Below are 25,761 nucleotides of genomic sequence, written 5' to 3'. Positions count from 1 at the left end.
TTCCACAGTTTGCAGTTTGGGCTCCCACAGCATTTGGGGTGTCTCCTGAGACCTGCAGGAGCAATCCGCTTCTTTCTGAGGGTCTGTGGGTTCTCTCAGTGTTCCTGATTTATTCCTGCAGTCAAAGTTCATGATACAAGCCTCCACACGCTGCTTTGTCTGTCCAAGTGGGAGCTGCAATCCAGTCCTGCCTCCCATCCACCATGATCTCTGGAATACATCTGAAATGTTCTATGTCTTGATTTGAGTGACAGTTTCACACATATACTCATGTATGTGTGTGTATATGTGTGTATATATATATATGAGTTACACACTTACAGTTTGTGAGTGTTACATTTTAATAAAAATAAATCTTAGAAATGACTACATATTTGTTCCTTTTCTTTTATCAATATACTTCCTCTAGTATTCATATAGAGAACCAGGGCTAAATTCATCTTTACAAAGGTAAATCGCAGAATGAATTGATATCCTAGACATTGAAAAGAACAAATGTGAGATTAAAATTTCAAACAGTTTTGAAAACTACTACATTGTGTATTCTTGCACTATCTCTGCCTTTCTTGATATCAGACCATTGCTCATGCTGTTTTCTCTGCTTAAAATGTTCTTACTTCTCCCGTGACTTGTCTACTCATCCTTTAGGTCTCATTGCTTGCTCTGGAAAACCTTTCCAGAACCTCAACCCTGAGTTAGGTACCCCTCTTATGTACCCTTATAACACCCTTTGCTTACTACTATCATCCACTTGACACTCCATAATGCAATTGCCTTCTTAATTTATTTGTTTCCAAATTAAGCTGTCAGTTCCTGAAGGGAAACTTGAGTTACTGAAGGTTGTGTCTTCCACACTTGGCACAGTGCCCGGTAGGTGCTCACAAATCATTGGTTGAATTATTATTTGGATGTAGAACAAGCTGGACCTATCAATTCTCAGCAGAAAGATTATGTATGATACCTGATTCCAGCAGTATAGCACGATGGACTTAGAGGCAACTGGGAACAGTTTTCCACTGTCTACATCACCATTGTAGTGATGAGAGTTTCTCACTTCTGGGGTTTCTTCAACGCACATCACATCTCATTATAATTTTAAAGAAAGGAAACTGAAAACTGGGTTAAAGAAATCTCATCACTAGAAGGTGTTGAAGAAGACTCCTAAATAAATTAGATTTCCAAACCCAAATGCCAAAAGCTTAGAAAGAGTATAAATGAATGCGATGGATTGTGTTTTTGCTCCCAATTATTAGGGCCCTTCCTGTAAGTGTTTTATATATCCTCACCATTGACCTATGACTTGCAGGACTTCCATTTGGAAGAATTATATTTACTTGTCCCATTGAGGTCAGCTTGGCCACTGATTTACTTTGGCTAATAGAATGTGAGAAAAAAACCATAACACAGTCTGAGAGGAAGCATTAAAAGCCATTCCTTATCTGGCCTTTTTCCCCCAGTTTGCAACAAGAACAGCATATTCCAAATGGGGGTGGCTCCTTCAGTCTGGATCCTGGAACTTGTCACCGTCATAGACCAAATGTAATGTGAGCAGGAAATGAACCAGTGTTGCTGCAAGACACTGAGATTTTGAGGCCTTACCACAGTAGAACCTAATCTAAGAAATGGAAGCAAGCATCAAGTGGAGCACTTACCAGACTCAAGAAAGCCTATTTGTCCCAAGAGACAGCCAGTCCTTAGCTCTCATGAATTGTCACAATGTAGAACTGCACGCTAACTCTTGCCAGATCTTCCTGTAAGAGGAGCCAAATTTTAAATTAAATCAATTCCTGATTTTTAATTAAAATATACCTTCTTTTTAAATGTTGGCGCTAAATCCATACGTTTAAAAAACACTTAGGGCAAATCAAATCAAGTAATAACTCATAATCTCTTTTCCATTCCATAGTTTGCTCATACATAAAATAAGAATGCGCTGGCCCGGCGTCGCTGGGCTTTCCTCAAGGGGTCCCCGAGCAGCGTCGCAGAGCGGGCCGACTTCCGGGAAGGAAGTGACCAGCGACTGAGCGGCGGCCGGCGCGTTTAGCGCCCTGAACATGCGGCAGTCCCTGCGGGCGACCCCAGGCTCCGGACAGGCAGCGGCGGAGGCGGCGGCTCCGGAGGGAAGGAGGCGGCGGCGCCGGCGGAGGTGGCGGCGGAGGTGGCGGCGGAGACGGCCGGCGCCCGGCGCGGAGCCCTAGCGAGGCAGTTCAGCGCGGCCTCGGGCCTGGTCGAGAAGGATGCTGTCCCGACAGAAAACCAAAAACGAAGTGTCCAAGCCGGCCGAGGTGCAGGGGAAGTACGTGAAGAAGGAGACGTCGCCTCTGCTTCGGAATCTTATGCCTTCATTCATCCAGCATGGTCCAAAAATTCCAGGACGAACTGATATCTGTCTTCCAGATTCAAGCCCTAATGCCTTTTCAACTTCTGGAGATGGAGTAGTTTCAAGAAACCAGAGTTTCCTTAGAACTCCAATTCAAAGAACACCTCATAAAATAATGAGAAGAGAAAGCAACAGATTATCTGCACCTTCTTATCTTGCCAGAAGTCTAGCAGATGTCCCTAGAGAGTATGGTTCTTCTCAGTCATTTGTAACGGAAGTTAGTTTTGCTGTTGAAAATGGAGACTCTGGTTCCCGATATTATTATTCAGACAATTTTGTTGATGGTCAGAGAAAGCGGCCACTTGGAGATCGTGCACATGAAGACTACAGATATTATGAATACAACCATGATCTCTTCCAAAGAATGCCACAGAATCAGGGGAGGCATGCTTCAGGTAGCTTAACATTATAAATAATATAGTAGTTTATATTTATTGACATGTCAATTAAAAAGATGTTCTTTTCTAGATTTTCTTGGGACACGGACAAATACTACTAGCGAAATATTTTTCCACTTTGCTCGTCCTGCTTAAGCCTGTGTGCAAATAGTTGTTAATCTACACTGAATGGAAGAGTCCTTGTGACCATTTATTTTATTAACTCATGTTATATAAACTTGGTACTTATCTCAAGGCTGTCTAGTCTCTTAATGCTGTGACCCTTGAAAACCTAGAGAATTTAATGTCTCCAGTTGGGCTGAATTTAGGTTTAGGTTTGGTAGAATAATGGGAAGGGTAAATCTTCAGAGACACTTGACTGAGTCCTCAGAGACACTTGACGAACTTGGGAAAGGAAAGAAGAATAGGAACAACTGGGCATGGTCAGTGATACCCTGAGCAATCACATTACTTCGCTAGATCCTGCACTTTTTCTCTGAACAAAAAGTAGTTCAAGAATTATTTCCTGAGTTGATCAAAAAGACTTATAGTCATATGGTTAATTATGTGTTGAGCATGTCTTTTTATTATTTTTGTAACAGACAAAAAATATTACCATATAATTTAAGAAAAGAAGGTACTTTCCATATCTCCTGAGTTGGAGATACTTCTGAAAGGAGCAGAAGAGATGGGAGAAATGTACAGTTCTACTTTATTCCTGAAGTCCTGGTTTTACCAGATAAAATTAAGTGAGAGGAAAATTAAACTTTCTTGTCCGATTGTTTTTTTCTACCAAGTTATAGACTTTAAATTTTGGCAGGATAAAAATAAAATGTGAGACAGATTTACTTTTTGGCTCACATAACTTCAAATAAGACGACTTAAAAATGGTTTGGAGCATTAGTATTTTGACTGTAGAAAAAAATTATTCATTTAGTATTAACTGTTTATGTGTCTAGCGTTTTCCTTGGGTCTGTTGGTCTCTGCTTTCTGGTACCTTATTTGTCTAGTATCTTATTTGTGGAAACAAAACCAATCTATACACAATAGTCACAGAACAATTGTTACACTTTGTGATACTAACTGTAAGTGCAACAGGGAATCAGAAGAGAGATGAGTATAGGCTGGAATACTTAAAGAGATGATTGGAGGACTTGGAGTGGGCCTTGAGCTTGGCCTTTAGATTAACAGGGGCCAGAAGAAGGACATTTTACATGGAAAATTGGGAATAGCACAATGAAAACAGAGTAGGCATGGTTTAAATATAAGGAACAGTGTAGTTCTGCCTGGTTTGAAGAAATAAGATGTAAGGTCGAGTGGAGATTTGTGGTTCAACAATAGGCTTAGATTTGAGTCAAGTGGAAGCTCTTGCACATTTCAGAAAGACAAGTGATTTTATGAAAGCAGTGTTTAAAGATTAGTTTTGTACTAGAATTAAGGGTAGATTCCTAGAGAAAAGAGGATTGCAGGTACCAGTGGGTACCAGTGGTAATAGGAAAAGGCAAATCTAGGATGCTTTGGAAGGAAAAATGAGAATTAGAGTTTAGGAGAAAGCAGATCACTGAAGTTTTAAAAATAATGTGGAATAGTTGGTAAGAACAACTTATTTTATGAAAGCTGACATCGGAGTCTCACTGGAACATTGTAGAGGAGAGGTTTTCTAGGCATGTGGAAATGCAGTAAGAGGCATGGGTAAAAGCACCTTTTAGTTTTTAAGGAATTAGGTTAAAGAATTAGCTGCATGCTTGTGTTTATTTTGGTTATTTCTGATATACAGTTCTGAACCTCAGGAGTAATTTGTTATCTAACTAAAATAGTAAGTTTTAAAAATAAAGCTCATTTATATTTTCTTCTAGAATAATAACTGCTTATTACGGGAAATTTGCAAAATGCAGTAACGTAAAGGCAAAGTACCTGTCCACCAGAGATCCTCTTAGTATGTTATTTTCTTCATCTTTTTCCATGCCAAATTCTTTTTTTACATGGATGTGATTATATAATATTTTGTACAGTTTTCTGTTCTTTTTACTTGAATGATTTTCTTCATGTTGTATACTTTTTATGAGTGGTTTTAATGACTGCATAATCTTCCATTTGGTGCATATTCAGTGGTTAATGAGGACTTGACCTATACTTCAGAAATTTGGAAAGAGGAGAAGTGGGACATGCCCAAATTAATGGGACTTGGCCACTAACGGGGTTTGAAGGACAAAGGAGAGGGAAGAGTCAGATAGGATTAGCATAGCACATGACTGCCTAAGAGATGCTCACAAAAATAAATGGCTGAATGAGTGAATGAACCCAGCGGTTTTAAATCTGGAGGCTTAAGACAGTTTTTGGTAGCTGAGGGAGAACAGAAATAGCTATGTTTACTGTTAATATAGAATATGTGTTATTCTTTGCACTCACCTTTCCCACCTATATTGCAGACGCCACTGATAGCTTGTAATACTTTTCTACCTGAGGTTTAAGTATGTAAACATGAAGAATTAATAACAAGTTAAACTCTTGTTTTGAAAATCTAATTTGCCAAATATAATTGAGGAAATACTATAAGAACTAAATCTCTACTGATCCTCTCTTAGGAGCAATTTGACATAATATTTGTAAGTTTAAAGACAGACTTTAAAACAACTTTCCGGTCACAACTTCAAAATAAAGTACAAGTTAATTGCAAAAAAATAAATAAATAAAAATAAAATAAAATAAAATAAGAATGCTAATATCTGTTCTGCCTCTCTAACAGGGTTATTTTGAGTGTTAGATTTATCTTACTTGTAGTTGTTTTTTTATTTTAAAAAAATTTTGAAATGATAAACTAACAAAGGTCAGGGAAAGTTCTTAGACTACTCTGGCAAGGCAGGCTGGACAATTCTAAGGCGATGAGGTACCAAGGAGGCTAGTAGTATAAACCACAGTGCCTCAACTTTCCTGCCCCTCCCCTGTTCTCCACTCCTCCATGCAAAACATGAAAAGCACACTTCTCCACTGGCAGATCAGACTAGCATGCAACCATCTTCAGGAATAATCTAAGCCTGAAATAGTTGAGAGGTAAGTAATTGACAAAAATGAATGGTTCTCTGTCATGAAACAAGCAAGGTATAAGTTTGTGTTGATCGATCCAAGTTGCCTTTCCTAGATTATAACATTGAACTTCATCCTTCTTAACTACGTCATAGAAATGACTCGGGCAATTCAAAAAATAGCTTAAAGACATGTAGTATCAAGAAAATTGGATAAGTTTTTTATGTTTGATTAAATGCCTCAAAAGTACTTGTTTTATTTTATGCAAAGATTCAAAATTCTTAAAAGATGTGGATTTGTCTAATAATTTGCATGATATAGCTCATAGGTAGAATTTTATGATAATTATGAATGTGTACTTCAGTAAAAATATTTCTGAAAAATTTAAAGAAGATTAAGGAATGCCTGAAAGAGAAAAATGTAATCTGATGTATTTTTTTTGTTGTTGCATTTACGGGGCTCACATTTTTTCCTTCCATTGTGCAGATACGCCACTAGAGAGCACTGTACGGCACTGCTTCCTCACACCCTGTGTGAGGTGCTGAATCTGACCTCTGATTTCCTCATTGAGAACCCTCCAGGTTTTGACTTACTTTAATAGGGCCAGGTACTCTATAGGGCATTGTGCCAGATGCTGGAAACAGAACAACAGAGACAGGACCCACAAATACAAAGGAACAGATTGTTCACAACAACCTGAGACAGGTGTTAATAAACAGGCCTGTGTCAGCACTACAGGAGTTTAGAGAATTGCTAACGATGTGATTCTGCAGGAAAGGAAAGTGGGAGGTCATGGAAAAGAAAGCACTCTCAGACTCTGACCAGTCCAGGCTGAAGAAGGTATGAAAGCTGAATTTTAGGCTGAGTTTCCTTTTCATTTTCCCCTTCCTGCCTTAGCAATGGACCTCCATACTGGAGGGAACCTGAAGCTAGGATATGACATAGGTTACCCGCAGGATATATAAAAAATGATCAGCCTATACACCCAGGACTGCCCGTGAGAAGTTGCTTTCCTCTGCACTGCAATATTCATTTGTCATTTATTGATTTGAGAAATATTTATTGTCAAGTGTGCCCCAAGCACTCATTGGTAAATAAGATAGCCATAGTCAGGGTGTGTCCACTTAAAAACTGTAGTCCAGTGGAGACACAATGATTGCAACGTAGTGTAATAAGTCCTGTGATAAGGGAAGAAGATGGAACCACACAAGTATAGAGCAGGGGCACCTGACAAAGACAGGAAGTCAGGGAAGGCTTCGTGGAGGAAGTACTATTCAATGAAGACCCTAAGCAGAATTGGAGGCCACCTAAAAAGGAGTAGGTGTATTCCAGGTGAAGATAGCACAACCCAGGAAAAAAAGAATCCAATAGGATTTTATTTGTGTATATACAATTTTCAGATCTTGCTGTTTTCCACTTATCCATTTTATCCTGAGTCTCCATATCTTTATTTTTGAAAACATGATTTTAATAGTTGCTCTAATAGTCCATCGTAAGAATAGTGACATTTATTTACCCATTTTCAGAAATAGCATTTTTAAGACTCATGCTAATCGCTCTCCCTTTGTCAATATAAAATCATGTGAATTAATTCTTACTGCTTATATGAATATCAACAACATTTCCTTTACTTGGTTGACTCTTGAGCACAATTCCTGCAACCCAAACTGATATCCAGCCATAACAAACACTGAATTTATGGAAGGTATTAAATTATTATGTATTGTTTAATTTTAAGTTTTTAATAAAATTTGCTGCAGTTGTTTTACATGAATTGGCAGGGCCTTAAGAGGCACTCTGGATTCTTTTCCTGCTGCTCAGATTACCCCGTCTGTGTCATTCATTCTTCCGTCTCTCCCAAGTCTGCATCTCCACTCCCTCCATCCATTAGTCCCTCAATCTCAGGCTCCTCCCTCTCTGGGATGCTCTGCTGATACTTATCTCCATCTTTTATCCAGTAAATACTTTTTTTTCTCTGTGGTCCAGTTTCCTGAATCTGCAAACATTAGCTTCATAAATGATTTTTTTAAACCACACTTTGGGTAAATATGTAAGTATGATATATGTGGCAAATTGCTTACATAGCAAATTGATTTTCTGGGTCAGGCAGGAAAGACTTTCACAAAAATCTTACAGGAAGTAAGATGATTTAGATGGAGTATCCAGTCACCTTCTGTTGAACCATTTCAGACCTAATTTATATTTTTTGTTCTGTCTCCCTTTAAAATTGAGCTTCCTCACATTTCCATACCTTTCATTTTAACCTACTTTAATGATAAGGTTTTTGGTTTGTTGGGTTTTGTTTCTGACTGTTTTCATTTATTGTCTTGGTATTCATTTATGCTTACTTAGCAAGGTATATTTCAGACAGAAACAGCTCACTGGTTTCATAGCTGCACAGCACTAGCTCTTCAGTTCAAACTCTATTTTCACTGAAAGATTTGTTGCATCTCATGTCTCTTACATTGCTGTGTGACTCACCATGAGTTTGGGAGTCTTTCAGAACCTCAGAACACTCAAATGATTTAAATTTCTCAAATATGTTCATTTCACATATAGGAAGTCACTTTCATCTGGACCACCGGGTCTTGACATTAGAAATGAGAAGGTCTATGGCTCCACAACAGCTACCTCAGCCTGGCACGTGCCCTGGCCTCAGAGATTCACAGTCCAGTTCTTTGTCCAGTTGGGTGGCTCCTGTCTACCACCTTACCATGCCCACTTAACTGATGCAAAGTTAATATCACAAGTAGCCACCTGTTCCTTGCAGTGAAAATTGTACTTACCACTTTCATAGCCCCAAGATATCCATGTATCTTTATTAACAGGCGCTTAACAACTTGCATCATTTAAAATGCCTCCCCTGCCTATCAGCTGATGATGGCCACAGGAAGGTGGGCCTGGAAGATAACAGCTAGCAGGCTAAGGCCAGACACTGACACTTGCAGTTGTCTTTGGTAGTTTTTTTGCACTAACTTCAGGAGCCAGCTCGTGATCTCAGGATGTATGGAAAAATAATCTTTGTATTACTATTGTCAGGTAAGTGATTTTATTTCATCTTGGTTCTGTTATATTGGGTATGAGATCATAGAATAAAATGTAAACTACCCTATTTTAGTTCTATCTTATTTAAATGCATAAATGAGTAGTATTTCCTCTTCCAGTCTGGTGGATGGATTTTACTGGAACTCAGCTACCAATGTGGGGGAAATGGCACAAGGGAGCCCAGTATTTATGGCCGAATCCAGTTTTCTAGTATGAGAAGCTTACTTCAATTCTAAGTCTAGCTAGAATTAAACTAATTTTATCAAATGCTATGAGAAATAGCTCTCTGTGAATAAATGTATTGCTTTGTTTGAGTTATAAGGAGATTCATTTCCAAACTAAAGAGTTATTAACAAAGGTGTTATATGGCTTTTAGTTTTAAAAAGGTATAATTTCCTATTTCTGCCAAATGGTGAGAAGCCAAAAGCATGAACACTGAAACCGTGGGGAGTTGTTCGCTTCTCTGTGGGTCCATTACTAAAGTGTCACATAGGAAGAAACAAAAACAAAAACAACTCTTACTGGCTTAGATGTCATGTGAATTTTAGGAGAAATTTAAATCCATTAAAATAAATATCATAGGGTCATTATTAAATTGTATTCAATAATTTGAATTTAACTTAGTTTAAATTTAATTATTAATTTAGTGTATTAAATAAACATGATTTTGGCCTCTTTCTGAGAATATTATAGTTAAACATCCTCTCAAGTGCAGTGCTTATGTGTTAGCAATACTAGTGCCCAGCACACAGGGGGCAGGCAGTTGCTTGAAACATTCTGAGTCTATTAGACATTGCTGTAATCCAAGTGAGAGCAAGTATCAAGGATCTACTGAGCATACAGTAGCATACAGGGAAGAGAGGATCTACTGAGCATACTCTGTAGCATACAGGGAAGAGAGATCAGCATTTTCTAAGATACCCTAGGGGAGGATAAAATAGTGCAATAGTTAAGAGCACAGGCATGAGGAACACACAGAACTGGGTTCAAATCTAGTTTTACTTCTCAAGGCTGGGGAACATTAAGGCAAATTATGTGCCCACATTTTTATGTGTCCTTGTCTTTAAAATGCAGGCAATGTTGGCACTTGCCTTATAATAATTGCGTAAAGATTAAACAAAATGTTTAATGGAATACACTTACTGATGCCTGAAACAAAGTAAAATGTTAAGCTTACTATGCATTTTCTATGATTAGAATTAACTATCATGATTAATAAGTATTAATAATATATTATTAAAATAAGCAGTAGCTATCAGTAGTTACAGACTAGGGAACAAACCTACGTATGTGATTGGTGATTTCTGAAAAGTCAGAGAGAAAAGAAAATTACAGAAAGAAAACAGAAAACAAACATAGCTACTCTAATTTTTTAAGCAGAAAAGTATGAAAACATTTAGTTTGAAGAAAAAACAAATGAAAGGGATGTAGTGTAATATTTGTATATGTATTCATATATTTGAAGTGCTATTACACAGAAAAAAAAGATGTATTCTTTGTGTTGCTCCATGGGGCAAACCAAACTGGATGTAACTCAAACAAAATTAGACACTGCATACTCTACTGGGGGGTGTGCCCAGCATTTGGGAAAACTCTGTGTGACTTACAAGTGCCCCAAATTTGGAAAGGGTTCCTGGCAAAGAAATGATTTTTTTTTTTAATTTCTACAACTACACAAGCAGATAGTGAATTAAAGCCTTAAATGGCACTTAATAAAGAGGTCACTGGGGCAAGATGACCCTGAAAGCTACAATGGTCTCCAGTACCCAAGCTGTTATCATCTTCGTAGCTTCAGAAACCCTCCAAGGAAACTCTCTTGATGTGGCTACTTAATAGTATAACAGAAAGGTGTAAGATCAAGTTTTTCCCCCATACTGATTAGCTGAAGACTAAACATGGTGAAGTCTTTTTCTTTTTTTTTCTTTTTTTTTTTTTTTTTTGCTATGAAAAAAAGACGATTGCCTTGCTTTCTCCAGGAATCTTAAGAATAAAGCCAATATTTCTAATTCTAAACTTACCAGAGATCTTCTTCCAAATGGAGAACCATTTTTTCTAATATGACTTGATTCGCAGTCCCTGAATTCCTGCACTCATTTGATGATTCAGTCATTACATGTCAGATTGTGAACCAGACACTGAGCCCAGGGCAGGAAGAAAAATGGGCTCCCATGGAGGATACACGGAGGTTGGGCACAGTGGATGGTGGGAGGGAACGCAGATAATAAATGGAACAACAACTATCTTATTAAAATAAGATAAAAACAGTCAAAAATAATACAAAGCATATAAAACCAGGTAAGATGATAAACATGAATGCCGAAAACTGCTTAAGAAAAGGGTAGCAGGGAGTTATTTTCTGAGTAGATGACATTTATGCTAAACGTGGAACAAGGAGAATGGAGCCAACCCTGAAAATTCTGGGAAAAGAGGACAGAAGGCAGAGGGAAGAGCAAGAGCAAAAATTCTGAAACAGGAGGTAAGTTAGTGTTTTCAAGGAAAAGCTGGAGCTTTTATCTGAAAATCAGATTCTGAAGCTAAGAACCAATTTGAAAATACAGTACTATATCACTTCAACTAGGAAATTATGGCATAAACCAGGAGTCTCCAAAAGCTTTTTTGTGTTTACTTAAAAATTCATACAAAATTTGCATTCTAGGTCATAATATACTAATTTAATTGGAGGAAACAAAGGGACTGGTGTGATATCATCATGCCTACTTTATTCAGCCGTGTATCCCCAGAATCTAGCACAGTTCCCGATTGGTATTTATAGTAGCATATTGGTTGAATAAGCAAGGAAGGAGGTGAAGGGAGGGAGAAGGAGAGATAAGCAGAGAGGGAGAGAAAGGAAGAAGGAAAAGGAAAAAGGAAGGAAAGAAGAGAGGATGGAGAGAGAGAGGGAGGCAAGAAGGGAGAAGAGAGAAGGGAAAGGAAGAGACAGGAGGAAGGGGAGGAGGAAAGGAAAGAGGAAATATTTGTTTTCATCTGGTTAGACACAGTGAGTGCTCCGCATAGACAGATCATTATTGCCCTGTGCATCTGACTCATACCACAGCAGGTACATCAGTCTGAAAAGCACATGTTAAGTGAAGAAACAAGGCATCTCTTTTTTTTTTTTTTTTTTCAGGGATCCAAGAAGAGAGCCTTGCTAGCTGTCTATTTAATTGGCACAGGAAAGAGTTACAGGAACTGTATGCCAGGGAATACATGACTATAAATTCTTTAAAAGCCAAACCTGTGTCTTTGCTTATGTGTCCCACACATTGTCAGCCACATAGTAGGCAGTCAGTATCAACTACTCAAAATGACAAATGACAAATGACCAGAATTTTGTGGCAGACTAGTTTAGCCATGAAAAATCATTTAACACCCGTGGGCCTCAGTTTTCTTGTGCCTTTTCAATAAAGCGCCGAGTAGATGGTATCTACAATCATTTTTCATCTGTAAACCCCAATGAATCCCCAAAATTCAGCCTGAGATGAGCTGGACTAGTTGCCAAATCTATAGATATCTTTAGCTTGGTGTGAAATAGGGTTTTTAGAGAGAAACAGACACCCACTGTGAACTCCTTTGCAGAAAAGGTCTGAATAGAGGGGAAAGTAGGGATGGTATCTCAAACTTACTTCGTAGTGATTTTAAATTAGGAAATTTAGCTTCACATTCTTGTGATAAATTTCTTTTCACCTTGGTTTCTAGAAGATTATTCAAAACATCTATGAGACTATTTGAGAAGTATACTTTTGAGGAATTTCCCCCAAGTTATCTTTACAGATTATATTTTGACACCAACTGCAAATGTAATATCTTTTGCTCAAAAAAAAAACCCAATCCTTCTTATATGGTGCTGACAAAATCAGGCTGGACCTACATTTTTACATCATAGATTTCCAGCCATTATTATCATATCCACATCTTTAGTAAGTACCTATCTGTGTAGTTTTCTGTGATAAATGAACTAAACTAAAACTAAAGCAAAAATGTTGAAAAAAAAATTCCGGGTGTATCTCTGAGTGTTGGGATTGTAAGATTTTATTTTTTTTTTCTCATTTTAAATACTTTCTAAATTTTCTGCAAAGAGAACCATATAATATAATCAGGACAAGTTTTAATATATTTTAAAAAGTAAATCGAACAAACACAATCTCTGCTTTCTAAGAAGTCTTTCATTTTTGTACGTTGGTCATAGACTATGACTATACAATTTATTTGTGATATTTATTAAGAATTTCTGTCTAACCCAAATTATTATATGTAAGCTCTGGAAAAATGATGTCATCTTTGTTTGTAGTGTACAAAGTTCTATAAACAGTTATTTGATCAACTTTGGTATTTCCATCCCTAGATTTATATACAGCAGGTTAGGTTCCGTACATAGGCAGGTTCTGAATAATAAAAACCAACAGTGATATAGCACTCACTTTGTGCCATGCACTGTTCTAAGCGATTTACATACACTTAATTTTTAAAATTGTAGTAAAATACACATAAGTTTACCATTTGAACCATTTTAAAGTGTACAATCGGTAGCATTTAATGCATTCAAAATGATGCACACCCATCACCATTATGTAGCTCCAGAACATTTTCATCACTCCAAAAGGAAACCTCTTACCCATTAGCAGCCACTTCCAATTCCTCCAGCCCCTGGAAACCACTAATTTGTTTTCTACCTCTACAGATTTACCCATTTTAGATATTTCATATAAATGGAATCATATAATAGGTAGCCTTTTGTGTATGGCTTCTTTCACTTAAAATAATGTGTTTAAAGTTCATCCATATTGTAGCGTGTATCAGTATTTCATTCCTTTTATAATAAATGTTATTCCATTGTGTTGGTATATCACATTTTGTTTATCCATCCATCATTTGATGAAAATTTGGGTTGATATATCACATTTTGCTTATCGATCCATCATTTGATTAAAATTTGTGTTGTTTCCACCTTTTGGCTATTGTGAATAGTGCTGCTATAAATATTCCTGTACTAGTTTTGTTTGAACCCACTTTTAATACTCAAAGATGTATAGGGGTAGAATTTCTGGGTCATAGTAATTTTATGTTTAACTTACTAAGGAACTGCTCAACTCTTTTCCACAGGAGCTGCACCTTTTGACCTTTTCACCAGAGTGTATGAGGTGCCAATTTCTCCACAATCTTGCCAGAAATTGTACTTTTTCATTTTTTTAATTATAGCCATTTCAGAGGGTATGAAATGGTTTTTCACTGTGGTTTCTTGCATTTTCCTGATAACTCATGATGCTGAGAATCTTCTCATGTAGTTGTTGGTAACTGCATTTTGCATATCTTTGGAGAAATGTTGGTTCTAGTCCTTCACCCATTTTTAAATCTATTTTTGTCTTTCTGTTGCTAAGTTGTAAGAGTTCTTTCTATGTTCTGGATAAAGAGTCTTATCCGATATACTATTTGCAAATCTTTTCCTTCATTCTGTAGATTTTTGTTTTTACTTTTGATAGTGTCCTTTGATGCACAAATGTTTTTCATTTTCAAGTCCAATTTTTTTTTCTTTTGTTGCTTACGCTTTTGATATCATATCTGAAAATGATTGCCAAATTTAAAGTCATAAAAATTTCTCCCTATGATTTCTTCTAAGAGTTTTGTAGTTCTTCTCTTATATTTAGATCTTTGGTTTATTATCAGTTAATTTTTCTGTATGATGTATGATAAGAGTCCACCTTTATTATTTTGCAGCTGTCCCAGCACCATTTGTTGAAGAGACTATCCTTTGCCCATTGAATGGTCTTGACACCCTTCTTGAAAGTTAATTGGCCATGGATATATGAGTTTATTTCTGGAGTCTCAATTCTATCCGAAGAATATGTCTGTTCTTGGGGCAAAATCACACAGATTTTATTGCTGTTACTTGGTTAGAAGTTTTGAATTCATGAAGTGTGATTCACTGAACTTTGTTCTTCTTCCAGATTGTTTTAGCTATTTAGATCCCTAACAATTTCATAGAAATTTTAGGATTAGGTTTTCCATTCTTGCAAAAAAAAATTATGTGCATTTTAACTTAATCTGTTCAATAATTCTATAAGGTAGAGACTAATCCATGTATAATGATGGAACAAAAATATAGAGATCAAGTTAATTTTGCAAGGTCTCAGGTAGTTGCTAGAGGAATCAGTTTGAGCCTAGGCAGTTCCACTGCAGAATCTGTGCACTTGGAGAATATGTTATGTTGCCTGTACCATACCTAGTGATGTTCCAGGATTGGCTCCGTTACTCTTACAACATTGTCACTCAGTGTTCTGCTTGTGCTTTCACCAAGCTGAAGACTTTAATGAAGGTTGACGGTCTGTCTTCCTCACGTGGTGCAGCTAAGGAACTCTAACTGTGTGGCTGTTATGTTAGCCTTTTGCTCCTTTTTATATGGGCTATAGAAAATGTTTTTAAATTCTGGAGGCCTCCTTTTGATGTTATCACTTATTTCCCAGTCATCATTATATTTTTTAAAACCAAAATAGAAGGAAATAAATACAAAACATAAAACATGAATAGTACAGCTATTTGAGGCAACTGAGAATAGAGATCATGGCACTGAAATTGCATTTTGCTAGGAAAAAGACCACAAAAGTTCTCCCCTTGCTACCTTTCCTGAACTATTCTGCTAGATTCAGACCTCAGAAACATTGTATCAGGAAATACAGAAATGTTCTTTCAAAATGAGTGTATGGGAATATGGGAATGCCTAATAAAATCTGTCTTCATTGATTCGTTAGCAAAAAATCATATAAATCCATAGCTTGTGATTGCAAGCAGATATATTTCAGATCCTTTCTGTGTTTGTTTTTTGCTTTCTTGATCTATCACAATTGGAGAAAACTTAAAATTTCTCAATGGTATTGTATTTTTGCCAATTTCTTATTCTGCTTTATGTTTCTCGTTGCTATATTATTGGGCTAAAATGGTCCATAATTACTTAAGAATCATTGTGAAATATATTGCTTAATGACACAAGTAAATCTTTTTCACTGTTTGTAATGTCTTTGCTCTTAATTCTACTTTGCCTAAGATTAATATGGTTATTCCTGTTTGGTTTTATATGTATTTATTGATTTATTTTGAAGATGGAGTCTCGTTCTGTCGCCCAGGCTGGAGTGCAGTGGCACGATCTCAGCTCACTGCAACCTCTGCCTCCCAGGTTCAAGCAATTCTCCTGCCTCAGCCTCCCAAGTAGCTGAGAATACAGGCGCACACCACCACGCCCAGTTAATTTTTTGTATTTTAGTAGAGACGGGGTTTCACAGTGTTGCCCAGGCTGGTCTCCAACTCCTGAGCTCAGGCAATCCACCTGCCTCGGCCTCCCAAAGTGTTGGGATTACAGGCATGAGCCATTGCACCAGTTGTAACCTATCTCTTTTGACTCAATCTAAAAGTTTCTGTCTTTTAATACAAAACCATAATCCATATGAATTCATTAATTCACAACTGACATTTAGCATCTTATTTCTGTTATCCTATTTCATATTTTATGATTCCTTGTTTCTGCTCTTTTGATATATATACTATGTTTTATTTGCACTTATCCTTTCATGTGTTTCTAAAGTATATAGCCTACTTGAAATTGTCCCATTAGCTAACTTTATGTTTTTGAAAGCATTCTCTCTCAGAATTCCCATTTTAGTGGTTCAGCACACATATAAAGTCTTAGACTTTCTGGAGCTAGATAAGCTGGATAAAGGTGTGCATGAGCCACTGGTCAATGGCTTGTGCAGGCCGTGAGTGCATTTCAGGTATTTCATATGCTATTGATCTGGCAGCCAGGTATTCACATAGGGTATAACCAGGTTCATCAGGCTCAAAACATAATCAAGTATTATTGAGACACTGTTAATGTGCACTACAACTCACAGCACACAGACTCACACACACACTTGTCTGAAATAAAATTCCACAAAATAATACCTTCCCTTATTCTGTGTGATGTACTTTGATATATTCTCTCCTATTTTATACAACTTAATTTTTTTTAGAGACAAGATTTTGCTCTGTGGCCTAAGCTGGACTGCAACGGCACAGTCATAACTTACTTCAGTCTTGAACTGCTGGATTCAAGTGATTCTCCAGCTTCTGCCTCTCAAGTAGCTGAGACTTCAGGTGTGCTCAACCACACCTGACTAATTTTTTTGTTATTTAATTTGTAAATACGGGGTCTTCTTATGTTGCCCAGGGTGGTCTCGAGCTCCTGGCCTCAAGCAATCCTCCTGCCTTGGCCTCCCAAAGCACTGGGGTTACAGGCACGACCCACCACACCTAGAATACAACTTAATTTTTTTTATTATTATTATACTGTAAGCTTTAGGGTACATGTGCACAATGTGCCGGTTAGTTACATATGTATACATGTGCCATGCTGGTGTGCTGCACCCATTAACTCGTCATTTAGCATTAGGTATATCTCTTAATGCTATCCCTCCCCCCTGCCCCCACCCCACAACAGTCCCCAGAGTGTGATGTTCCCCTTCCTGTGTCCATGTGTTCTCATTGTTCAGTTCCCATCTATGAGTGAGAACATGCGGTGTTTGGTTTTTTGTCCTTGCGATAGTTTGCTGAGAATGATGATTTCCAGTTTCATCCATGTCCCTACAAAGGACATGAACTCATCCTTTTTTATGGCCGCATATTATTCCATGGTGTATATGTGCCACATTTTCTTAATCCAGTCTATCATTGTTGGACATTTGGGTTGGTTCCAAGTCTCTGCTATTGTGAATAGTGCCGCAATAAACATACATGTGCATGTGTCTTTATAGCAGCATGATTTATAGTCCTTTGGGTATATACCCAGTAATGGGATGGCTGGGTCAAATGGTATTTCTAGTTGTAGATCCCTGAGGAATCGCCACACTGACTTCCACAATGGTTGAACTAGTTTACAGTCCCACCAACAATGTAAAAGTGTTCCTATTTCTCCACATCCTCTCCAGCACCTGTTGTTTCCTGACTTTTAATGATTGCCATTCTAACTGGTGTGAGATGGTATCTCATTGTGGTTTTGATTTGCATTTCTCTGATGGCCAGTGATGATGAGCATTTTTTCATGTGTCTTTTGGCTGCATAAATGTCTTCTTTTGAGAAGTATCTGTTCATATCCTTTGCCCACTTTTTGATGGGGTTGTTTGTTTTTTTCTTGTAAATTTGTTTGAGTTCATTGTAGATTCTGGATATTAGCCCTTTGTCAGATGAGTAGGTTGCAAAAATGTTCTCCCATTCTGTAGGTTGCCTGTTCACTCTGATGGTAGTTTCTTTTGCTGTGCAGAAGCTCTTTAGTTTAATTAGATCCCATTTGTCAATTTTGGCTTCTGTTGCCATTGCTTTTGGTGTTTTAGACATGAAGTCCTTGCCCATTCCTATGTCCTGAATGGTAATGCCTAGGTTTTCTTCTAGGGTTTTTATGGTTTTAGGTCTAACGTTTAAGTCTTTAATCCATCTTGAATTAATTTTTGTATAAAGTGTAAGGAAGGGATCCAGTTTCAGCTTTCTACATATGGCTAGCCAGTTTTCCCAGCACCATTTATTAAATAGGGAATCCTTTCCCCATTGCTTGTTTTTCTCAGGTTTGTCAAAGATCAGAGAGTTGTAGATGTGCGGCGTTATTTCTGAGGGCTCTGTTCTGTTCCATTGATCTATATCTCTGTTTTGGTACCAGTACCATGCTGTTTTGGTTACTGTAGCCTTGTAGTATAGTTTGAAGCCAGGTAGCGTGATGCCTCCAGCTTTGTTCTTTTGGCTTAGGATTGACTTGGCAATGCGGGCTCTTTTTTGGTTCCATATGAACTTTAAAGTAGTTTTTTCAAATTCTGTGAAGAAAGTCATTGGTAGCTTGATGGGGATGGCATTGAATCTATAAATTTCCTTGGGCAGTATGGCCATTTTCACGATATTGATTCTTCCTACCCATGAGCATGGAATGTTCTTCCATTTGTTTGTATCCTCTTTTATTTCATTGAGCAGTGGTTTGTAGTTCTCCTTGAAGAGGTCCTTAACATCCCTTGTAAGTTGGATTCCTAGGTATTTGATTCTCTTTGAAGCAATTGTGAATGGGATTTCACTCATGATTTGGCTCTCTGTTTGTCTGTTATTGTTGTATAAGAATGCTTGTGATTTTTGTACCTTGATTTTCTATCCTGAGACTTTGCTGAAGTTGCTTATCAGCTTAAGGAGATTTTGGGCCAAGACAATGGGGTTTTCTAGATATACAATCATGTCGTCTGTGAACAGGGACAATTTGACTTCCTCTTTTCCTAATTGAATACCCTTTATTTCGTTCTCCTGCCTAATTGCCCTGGCCAGAACTTCCAATACTATGTTGAATAGGAGTGGTGAGAGAGGGCATCCCTGTCTTGTGCCAGTTTTCAAAGGGAATGCTTCCAGTTTTTGCCCATTCAGTATGATATTGGCTGTGGGTTTGTCATAGATTGCTGTTATTATTTTGAGATACATCCCATCAATACCTAATTTATGGAGAGTTTTTAGCATGAAAGAGTTGTTGAATTTTGTCAAAGGCCTTTTCTGCATCTATTGAGATAATCATGTGGTTTTTGTCTTTGGTTCTGTTTATATGCTGGATTACATTTATTGATTTGCGTATATTGAACCAGCCTTGCATCCCAGGGATGAAGCCCACTTGATCATGGTGGATAAGCTTTTTGATGTGCTGCTGGATTCGGTTTGCCAGGATTTTATTGAGGATTTTTGCATCAATGTTCATCAAGGATATTGGTCTAAAATTCTCTTTTTTGGTTGTGTCTCTGCCCGGCTCTGGTACCAGGATGATGCTGGCCTCATAAAATGAGTTAGGGAGGATTCCCTCTTTTTCTATTGATTGGAATAGTTTCAGAAGGAATGGTACCAGTTCCTCTGGAGTGGACCTCTAGCAAACTCCGACAGACCTGCAGCTGAGGGTCCTATGTGTTAGAAGGAAAACTAACAAATAGAAAGGACATCCACACCAAAAACCCATCTGTACATCACCATCATCAAAGACCAAAAGTAGATAAAACCACAAAGATGGGGAAAAAACAGAGCAGAAAAACTGGAAACTCTAAAAAGCAGAGCACCTCTCCTCCTCCAAAGGAACACAGTTCCTCTCGAGCAACGGAACAAAGCTGGACGGATAATGACTTTGACGAATTGAGAGAAGAAGGCTTCAGACGATCAAACTACTCCAAGCTACAGGAGGAAATTCAAACCAAAGGCACAGAAGTTGAAAACTTTGAAAAAAGTTTAGACGAATGTATAACTAGAATAACCAATACAGAGAAGTGCTTAAAGGAGCTGATGGAGTTGAAAGCCAAGCCTCGAGAACTACGTGAATAATGCAGAAGCCTCAGGAGCCAATGTGATCAACTGGAAGAAAGGGTATCAGTGATGGAAGATGAAATGAATGAAATGAAGCGAGAAGGGAAGTTTAGAGAAAAAAGAATAAAAAGAAATGAACAAAGCCTCCAAGAAATATGGGATATGTGAAAAGACCAAATCTGCATCTTATTGGTGTACCTGAAAGTGATGGGGAGAATGGAAACAAGTTGGAAAACACTCTGCAGGATATTATCCAGGAGAACTTCCCCAGTCTAGCAAGGCAGGCCAACATTCAGATTCAGGAAATACAGAGAACGCCACAAAGATACTCCTCGAGAAAAGCAACTCCAAGACACGTAATTGTCAGATTCACCAAAGTTGAAATGAAGGAAAAAATGCTAAGGGCAGCCAGAGAGACAGGTCGGGTTACCCACAAAGGGAAGCCCATGAGACTAAGAGCAGATCTCTCGGCAGAAACTCTACAAGCCAGAAGAGAGCGGGGGCCAATATTCAACATTCTTAAAGAAAAGAATTTTCAATCCAGAATTTCATATACAGCCAAACTAAGCTTCATAAGTGAAGGAGATATAAAATACTTTACAGACAAGCAAATGCTGAGAGATTTTGTCACCACCAGGCCTGCCCTAAAAGAGCTCCTGAAGGAAGCACTAAACATGGAAAGGCACATCCGGTAACAGCCGCTGCAAAATCATGCCAAAATGTAAGGACCATCGAGATTAGGAAGAAACTGCATCAACTAATGAGCAAAATCACCAGCTAACATCATAATGACAGGATCAAATTCACACATAACAATATTAACTTTAAATGTAAATGGACTAAATGCTCCAATTAAAAGACACAGACTGGCAAATTGGATAAAGAGTCAAGACCCACCAGTGTGCTGTATTCAGGAAACCCATCTCATGTGCAGAGACACACATAGGCTCAAAATAAAAGGATGGAGGAAGATCTACCAAGCAAATGGAAAACAAAAAAAGGCAGGGGTTGAAATCCTAGTCTCTGATAAAACAGACTTTAAACCAACAAAGATCAAAAGAGACAAAGAAGGCCATTACATAATGGTAAAGGGATCAATTCAACAAGAAGAGCTAACTATCCTAAATATATATGCACCCAATACAGGAGCACCCAGATTCATAAAGCAAGTCCTGAGTGACCTACAAAGAGACTTAGACTCCCACACAATAATAGTGGGAGACTTTAACACCCCACTGTCAACATTAGACAGATCAATGAGACAGAAAGTTAACAAGGATACCCAGGAATTGAACTCAGCTCTGCACCAAGTGGACCTAATAGACATCTACAGAACTCTCCACCCCAAATCAACAGAATATACACTTTTTTCAGCACCACACCACACCTATTCCAAAACTGACCACATAGTTGGAAGTAAAGCTCTCCTCAGCAAATGTAAAAGAACAGAAATTATAACAAACTGTCTCTCAGACCACAGTGCAATCAAACTAGAACTCAGGATTAAGAGACTCACTCAAAACCGCTCAACTACATGGAAACTGAACAACCTGCTCCTGAATGACTACTGGGTACATAACGAAATGAAGGCAGAAATAAAGATGTTCTTTGAAACCAATGAGAACAAAGACACAACATACCAGAATCTCTGGGACACATTCAAAGCTGTGTGTAGAGGGAAATTTATAGCACTAAATGCCCACAAGAGAAAGCAGGAAAGATCCAAAATTGACACCCTAACATCACAATTAAAAGAACTAGAAAAGCAAGAGCAAACACATTCAAAAGCTAGCAGAAGGCAAGAAATAACTAAAATCAGAGCAGAACTGAAGGAAATAGAGACACAAAAAACCCTTCAAAAAATTAATGAACCCAGGAGCTGGTTTTTTGAAAAGATCAACAAAATTGATAGACCGCTAGCAAGACTAATAAAGAAAAAAAGAGAGAAGAATCAAATAGATGCAATAAAAATGATAAAGGGGATATCACCACCGATCCCACAGAAATACAAACTACCATCAGACAATACTACAAACACCTCTACGCAAATAAACTAGAAAATCTAGAAGAAATGGATAGATTCCTTGACACATACACTCTCCCAAGACTAAACCAGGAAGAAGTTGAATCTCTGAATGGACCAATAACAGGCTCTGAAATTGTGGCAATAATCAATAGCTTACCAACCAAAAAGAGTCCAGGACCAGATGGATTCACAGCCGAATTCTACCAGAGGTACAAGGAGGAACTTAAATTTTTAGTGCCAGTGACAACCCACTGGACTGATTTCATAGCCCATTACTAGAGGAATGCACCATCTTGACTGCAGGTTTGAATTTTCTCAGAGAATCTCTGTAGCACTGTTGATTGGGTTTCACATCCAAAGATTCTAGTTATGCTAATACAGGGGCCAAGCAAACTATAGCCTGTGAACGGCCGGCACCCTAGTTTTGTATACCTTACAAGTTACAAATGATTTTTACTTTTTTAAGTACTTAAAAAAATCAAAATAGGCCAGGTGCAGTGGTTCAAGCTTGTAATCCCCTCACTTTGGGAAGCTGAGGCGGGTGGATCATGAGGTCAGGAGATCAAGATCGTCCTGGCTAACACAGTGAAACCCCATCTCTACTAAAAATACAAAAAATTAGTCAGGCTTGGTGGCGGGCACCTGTAGTCCCAGCTACTTGGGAGGCTGAGGCAGGAGAATGGAGTGAACCCGGGAGGCGGAGCTTGCAGTCAGCCGAGATCAGGCCACTGCACTCCAGCTTGGGCGACAGAGCAAGCCTCTGTCTCAAAAAAAAAAAAAAAAAGAAACAAAAAAAATCAAAATAATAATAATAACATGTGGATATTATACGAAATTCAAATTCTACTGCCCACAAATCATTACTGGAACATAGTCATACTCGTTTATTTATGCTTTGGTTTACATATTGTCTGTAGCTGCTTTTGCACAGTGACAGAGTTGAATATTTGTAGTAGATGGTCCACAAAGCCTAAAGTAGTTATGGCCCACAAATCCTAAAGTAGTTACTCCCTCTCCCTTTACATAAGAAGTTTACTAATACTTGTACTAAGGGCTCTCAACAGACAATTTGAAAAACTTAAGTTTTAGACTAAAGATTTCCAATCTAAATTCCTGTGGAGCTTTCTGAAGCTGCCAGGTAGAGATGGGAACAGGTTGTGAGGCTGCAGGCCAAACACTCAGGCCAACTTCCACCAAGCAGTTCAACTCTGTCTGTTTCACACACTGATGAGCTTATCCTTGGAAAGTGATTAAAGTAAAATTAAATGCGAATTGAGGGAGGAAGTGAGGGAGACTGTGGCTCTAAAACAAAACCCTAAGAAACACCAACATTTAAGATGGCAAATGATGTTATTTCTAAAGTCGTTCAGGCTAATATCCCATACTGTAGCTGTTCACTTTATAGATAAAGGTGACACTAGAACCATAGACAATGTAAGAATGGACCTTGAAACTCAGGAAGATGAAGTTTACATATATTAATCTATATTACCAACTGGAGCAGTTGTTTTCGCCGCTGGCCGCACATCAGAATCCAATGCCTGGATATCACAGATGATTCTACCATGCAGTCAAGGATGAGAACAAACTAGTTTCATTTCTGCAATTTTGTATTGTTCAACCAGAGAAAGGAAGTACCAGTGGTGTGAGAACTTTGGGATAAAGTTTTTGTTTTCAATTGAAATTATTTTCATTCAGCCCAACTTCCTTAAGCCCAAATTTAATGTGTGTGAAGTTCAGCTACAGAAATACCAAACCTTAGACTAAAGCGGACACAGGTAAAATATGTGAAATCCTCTTTTGTTCTGAGGATTCTTTAGTAGGCAGGAGTGACCAGATTGGAATATGCTTGGCTGGAAAAATTAAGATTCAAGTTAACAAACTGTTAATAACCAGAACCATCTGTTCTTCCGTAATGTGGATTTGCCACTGCAGGTCACCCTACAATGCTATGTTAGAGGTACAACACTCCTACCCTCAGGCTATAAACAAGGTGAATTATCATCTTTATATCTCTTCATTTAGCCCTGATTTGCTGAAGTGAAGGCTTGCTTGAGAATTGGTTGCATTATAATTTGGTGAGAATTTAATCTCTCAATGACAACTTACTTGATTCTCTCATTCTCTTTCTGCTACATAGATCACAGTAGACCTTGGCAGACAGTTCTGTAGTTACACAGGTCTGAATTCAAAATCCAGCTCTGCCACTTGGCTGCTGTGTGAACTTAAGCAAGTCGGGCAATGTTTCTGATGTTTTTTTTTCCTCCTCCACAAAGAATAATTAATATATAACAATAGGGTCTCAGCTAGTTGTTTTAAAAATGGTTAGAGAGATGTGTGGAATGAAGTAAGTGTGCAGTAAGTGTTAACTACAAATATTATTATCTTAGACATACAGATTTCCATGATTCATGAATGGTGAAGCATCTTAGAAGACATCCATTCCAGGCCAGGCATGGCGGTGCGCACCTATAGTCCCAGTTGCTCAGTAGAATGAGGCAGGAGAATTGCTTGAGCCTAGGAGTTTGAGGCTAGTATGGGCAATATGGTGAGACCCTATCTCAAGAAAAAAGCAAAACTTTTTTTAAAGTTTAAAAAGAGAGACATCTGTTCCACTACTCTCATCTTAGAGGCCAGAAAACTGAGGCTCAGATAATTTCAGAGACTTTCACAGATCCCCCAACCATTTGGTGGCAAAGCCAGGAATAGAACTCTGCTCTCCTTTCCCACTGGGACAGTGGACAGAAATTCATCTTGATTTCCATCTGTCCAGGCTGAAGAATGTGCACTGGCTGGAATGACAGAGTGACCAATTTTTTTCTCCACCTCTGCTGTCTCAGCAATGGTTTGGGACAGTGTGGATGACCAGAAGCTGGATAGTACAGAGCGAGGCTAAAAAGTTCAGGCTTCCTGAAGGGAAGCTGCAGTCCTCCTAGGCCACAACACCTTCGAGATAGAATAAATACAGCACCCTTCTCTACCAAGTTAGGAAAGGAAGAAGTGTTACCAATTAGTTGTATGGGGACTGCCAAAGCACGCCATTCTGAAGATGAGCAGAAACTGGCTCATTCCATTTGGCACCTAGCACACTAACTGCACCAGTTAATAGGCCACGCTTTTCTCCAGAGCCATTGGCTGAAGAGTTCAAATAAAAAGTATTGAGAATAGGCTATCCAAAACAGTAGGCTCAGATGCTATCACACAAAGCACTTTATCCTTAAGTTCAATTTTTCTAAATTGTAGTTGGCTGCTTTGGCTTAATAAAAACCTTCCAAAAAAGAAAAATGAATGGCCACAGACAGTATGGGTATCTAACTATATTATCACAACTTGACCAAGATTGAACGTGCCAATCCTTTGGTTCAAGAGCCAAACAAAATCGTTCCCTTAAAATATTGCTTCATGGGAACAGTCTTCTTCAAACATCTTTTAGCACAGGCAAGATTCCCATTTATACGTTAATTCTGTCCAAGACAATGAGATTGGGCAGAAAAGGCATTGAGTTGGAAGTCAATGGATATGAGTTTTTGTCCCAGTTTTACCACAAATTAGCTGAGCATAACTTCCACAGATGCATTTATCAA

The 25,761-nt window shown here is 38.2% G+C and overlaps 1 protein-coding gene, 2 long non-coding RNA genes and 1 pseudogene across 4 annotated transcripts in view; 2 read left to right on the top strand and 2 right to left on the bottom strand.

Annotated features, from left to right (window-relative positions):
- LOC101927636 (uncharacterized) overlaps positions 1–1,960 on the bottom strand; it is a 70,124-nt gene extending 68,164 nt beyond the window's left edge. Inside the window, exons 1-2 of the long non-coding RNA NR_125886.1 lie at positions 1,842–1,960; positions 1,653–1,751 (exon numbers count right to left, since the gene is read on the bottom strand). This is a non-coding gene — a long non-coding RNA (uncharacterized LOC101927636). The remainder of the gene's footprint in view (positions 1–1,652; positions 1,752–1,841) is intronic.
- LOC105377459 (uncharacterized) overlaps positions 1–25,761 on the bottom strand; it is a 125,977-nt gene that overhangs the window by 55,087 nt on the left and 45,129 nt on the right. The window lies entirely within an intron of this gene.
- LOC100420464 (salvador family WW domain containing protein 1 pseudogene) lies at positions 2,041–2,778 on the top strand (annotated as a pseudogene).
- The window catches only part of GYPE (glycophorin E (MNS blood group)), a 34,696-nt gene continuing 17,666 nt past the window's right edge, over positions 8,732–25,761 (top strand). For both annotated transcript variants that reach the window (NM_198682.3, NM_002102.4), the window contains exon 1: positions 8,732–8,820. In NM_198682.3, coding sequence (NP_941391.2) covers positions 8,784–8,820 — 37 coding nt within the window. In that variant the 5' untranslated portion in view covers positions 8,732–8,783. The remainder of the gene's footprint in view (positions 8,821–25,761) is intronic.

Source organism: Homo sapiens, chromosome 4 (genome assembly GCF_000001405.40).
Source record: "Homo sapiens chromosome 4, GRCh38.p14 Primary Assembly".
In the NCBI taxonomy this organism is placed as follows: Eukaryota; Metazoa; Chordata; class Mammalia; order Primates; family Hominidae; genus Homo; species Homo sapiens.
This window is presented reverse-complemented; position numbering and strand designations above follow the sequence as displayed.